This window comes from Homo sapiens, chromosome 7 (genome assembly GCF_000001405.40).
Source record: "Homo sapiens chromosome 7, GRCh38.p14 Primary Assembly".
NCBI lineage: Eukaryota > Metazoa > Chordata > Mammalia > Primates > Hominidae > Homo > Homo sapiens.
In genome coordinates this window covers 85,685,270-85,688,140 of record NC_000007.14, presented here as the reverse complement: position 1 = coordinate 85,688,140, position 2,871 = coordinate 85,685,270, and the positions used below count along the sequence as shown (strand labels likewise).

Here is a 2,871-nt window from a genome sequence, read left to right as displayed (position 1 = left end):
TTAAAAAAAGGATTTATTTTGGCTCATGGTTCTGCAGCCTATACAAGAAGCATGGTGCTGGCAGTTGCTTCTGGTGAGGACCTCAGGAAGCTCAGTGGAAGGTGATGGGGAGCCAGCACATCATATGACAAGAGTGGGGAAAGAGTAGTGGGGAGGCACCACACACTTTTAAAGAACCATATCTTGTGTGAACTCAGAGCCAGGATTTGCTCATTAGCAAGGGGATGATGATAAGTCATTCATGAGAAATCTGCCCCCATGAGCCAAACATGTCCCACCAGGCCCCACCTCCAACAATGAAGATTACATTTCAACATGAGACTTGCAGGGCATAAGCATCCAAACCATATCATTCTGCTACTGCCCACCCCCCACAAATTTCATGTCCTTCTGACATTGTAAATAACAATCATACTTTCTCAATAGTTTCCTAAAAGTCTTAACTTTTTCCAACATTAACTCAAAAGTCCCAAGTCCATAGTTTCATCTAGTGATGAGTTCCTTCCACTTATAAACCTGTGAGATCAAAAACAAGTTATATACTTCCAAGATACAATGGTGGTACAGTCATTGGGCATACATTTCCATTCTAAAAGGGAGAAATCACCCAAAAAGGACACTAGGCCTCACACAAATCTGAAACCAAGCAGAGCAGTCATTAAGTGTTAAAGCTACAAAGCAATCTTCTTTGACTTCACGTCCCATACCCAGGGCACACTGGTACAAGAGGTAAGCTTCCACAGCTTTAGGCAGCTCTGCCCCTGTGACTTTGCTGTGTACAGCATCTGTGACTGCTCTCAGTTGGTGTTGGGTGCCTGCAGCTTTTCAAGCCTCAGGATGCAAGGTGCCCATGGCTCTACAATTCTGGGGTTAGAGGGCAATGGCACTCTTTCCACAGATCCACTAGGCAATGCCCTGTTGGGGACTCTGTGTGGGGCCTCCAATCCTACATTTCCCTTCTACACTACTCTAGTAGATGTTCGTTGTGAGGGCTCCAACCCTGCAACAGGCTTCTGCCTGGGCACCCAGGCGTTCTTATGCATCCTCTGAAATCCAGAAAGAAGCTGCCAAGCCTCCTTCACTCTTGCATTGTGCGCACCTGCAGAAAACACCAGGTGGAAGCTACCCAGGCTTATGGCTTGCACCCTGTAGAGTAGCAGCTTAAGCATTACCCAGAGCCCTTCTAAACATGGTTGGAGCTTTTCCCCATTGTTTTGCATATTAACACTTCACTCCCTTTCAGTCATGTTAATCTCTCTAGCAAGTAACTGCTTGCTCTAAAGCCTGCTTGTATTCCCTCCTGAAAATTTTTTCTTCTCTGCCACATGCATAGATTGCAAATTTTTCAAACTTTTATGCTGTGCTTCCCTTTTAAATACACGTTTCAACTTTAAATTATTTCTTTGTTTCCACCTCTATTCATAGGCAGTTAGAAGCAGCCAAGCCACAACATCTTGAATGCTTAGCTGCTTTAAGATTTCTTCTGCCAGATACCCTACGTCATCGTTCTTACGTTCAAAATTCCACAGATCCTAAGGGCATGAACACAATGCAGTTGAGTTCTTTTCTTGGATGTAACATGGGTGATGGATAAGCTTTACTTCAGTTCCCAAAAAGTTCCTTATTTCCATCTGAGACTCATTAGTGTGGTCATCATTGTCCATATTTGTATCAGCATTTTGAGCACAGCCATTTAACAGGTCTCTAAGAAATTCCATACTTTCCCCCTTCCTCCTGTCTTCTTCTGAGCCCTCCAAAGTTGTCCAACCTTTGCACATTACCCACCCCCAAAGTCACTTCCACATTTTCAGGTGTCTTTGTAGCAATGCCTCACTCCTTGGTGTCAATTTTCTGTGTTAGTTTGCTTTTGTGTTGCCATTTAAAAAAATACCCAGGCTGGGTAACTTATAAAGAAAAGAGGTTTAATTGACTCATGTTTCTCCAGGCTTTGCAGGAAGCATGATGCCAGCATCTGCTTCTGGCAAGGTCTCAGGAAGCTTGCAATCATGCTGGAAGGCAGCAGGGAGCCAGGATGTTACATGATGAGCATGATAGCAGGAGAGAAGTGGGGGAGGTGCCACATACTTTTAAACAAACAGATGTCATGTGAACTTAGAGTCAGAACTCACTCATCACCAAGGGGATGGTTCTATGCCATTCATTCACAAGGGACCTGCACCTGTCATCCAAATGCCTCCAACCACACACTATCTCCAACACTGGAGATTACACTACAACATGAAATTTGGAAGCAACAAATATCCAAACCTTATCAGAGACACATTATACTAAACATCTATGCACATTATCAGAATTAATCCACATACAAACCCTCAGAGAATGATTTTGTACCCATTTTTTTTAGGTTCACATCATTATCAAGTTAAATATCTTTCCCAGTACTACACGCTATGGGATTCTGACTTAAATCTGGGTTCACTCCAAGGACCACACTCCCTCCACTAAGCTTTAATCAGTTATATTTCTCAGAAGGAGGAGCAGGAGGATTAGAAGGAGGAGCAAGGGATAGAAGGAAGCTACTTAGTTAGAAGGGATTAAAACACTTTTAGATGCGCTTTATACCACACACCGTGTGCTTTACAATGCTTTGATAAAACCATAATTTTACCATCAAGTTTATAGAAATTTGATGATCATTTTTCTTGTTTTTATCTAATCAGTCTCTGTAATTTTTCATTCATTTTTAAACTAATAATGAAGCATTTCAATGTCAGTCTGATACTCATTTCATCCCTAAGGAGTAATCTGCAGGATTATTCCACAATGGGAAAAAGCCATATTCACAAAATACTTTTATTCACATATTCCCTTATATTCACATTGAAGGTCATTTTGCCCTCTAATGAAGAC

The 2,871-nt window shown here is 42.0% G+C and overlaps 1 annotated feature.

Moving 5' to 3' along the window:
- Positions 947–1,469: an enhancer, noted in NCBI's record as "NANOG hESC enhancer chr7:85315988-85316510 (GRCh37/hg19 assembly coordinates)". NCBI's record gives its function as "activates a minimal SCP1, AML or CMV promoter by ChIP-STARR-seq in primed H9 embryonic stem cells {active_cell/tissue: H9 hESC(primed)}" and the evidence as "EXISTENCE:reporter gene assay evidence [ECO:0000049][PMID:30033119]".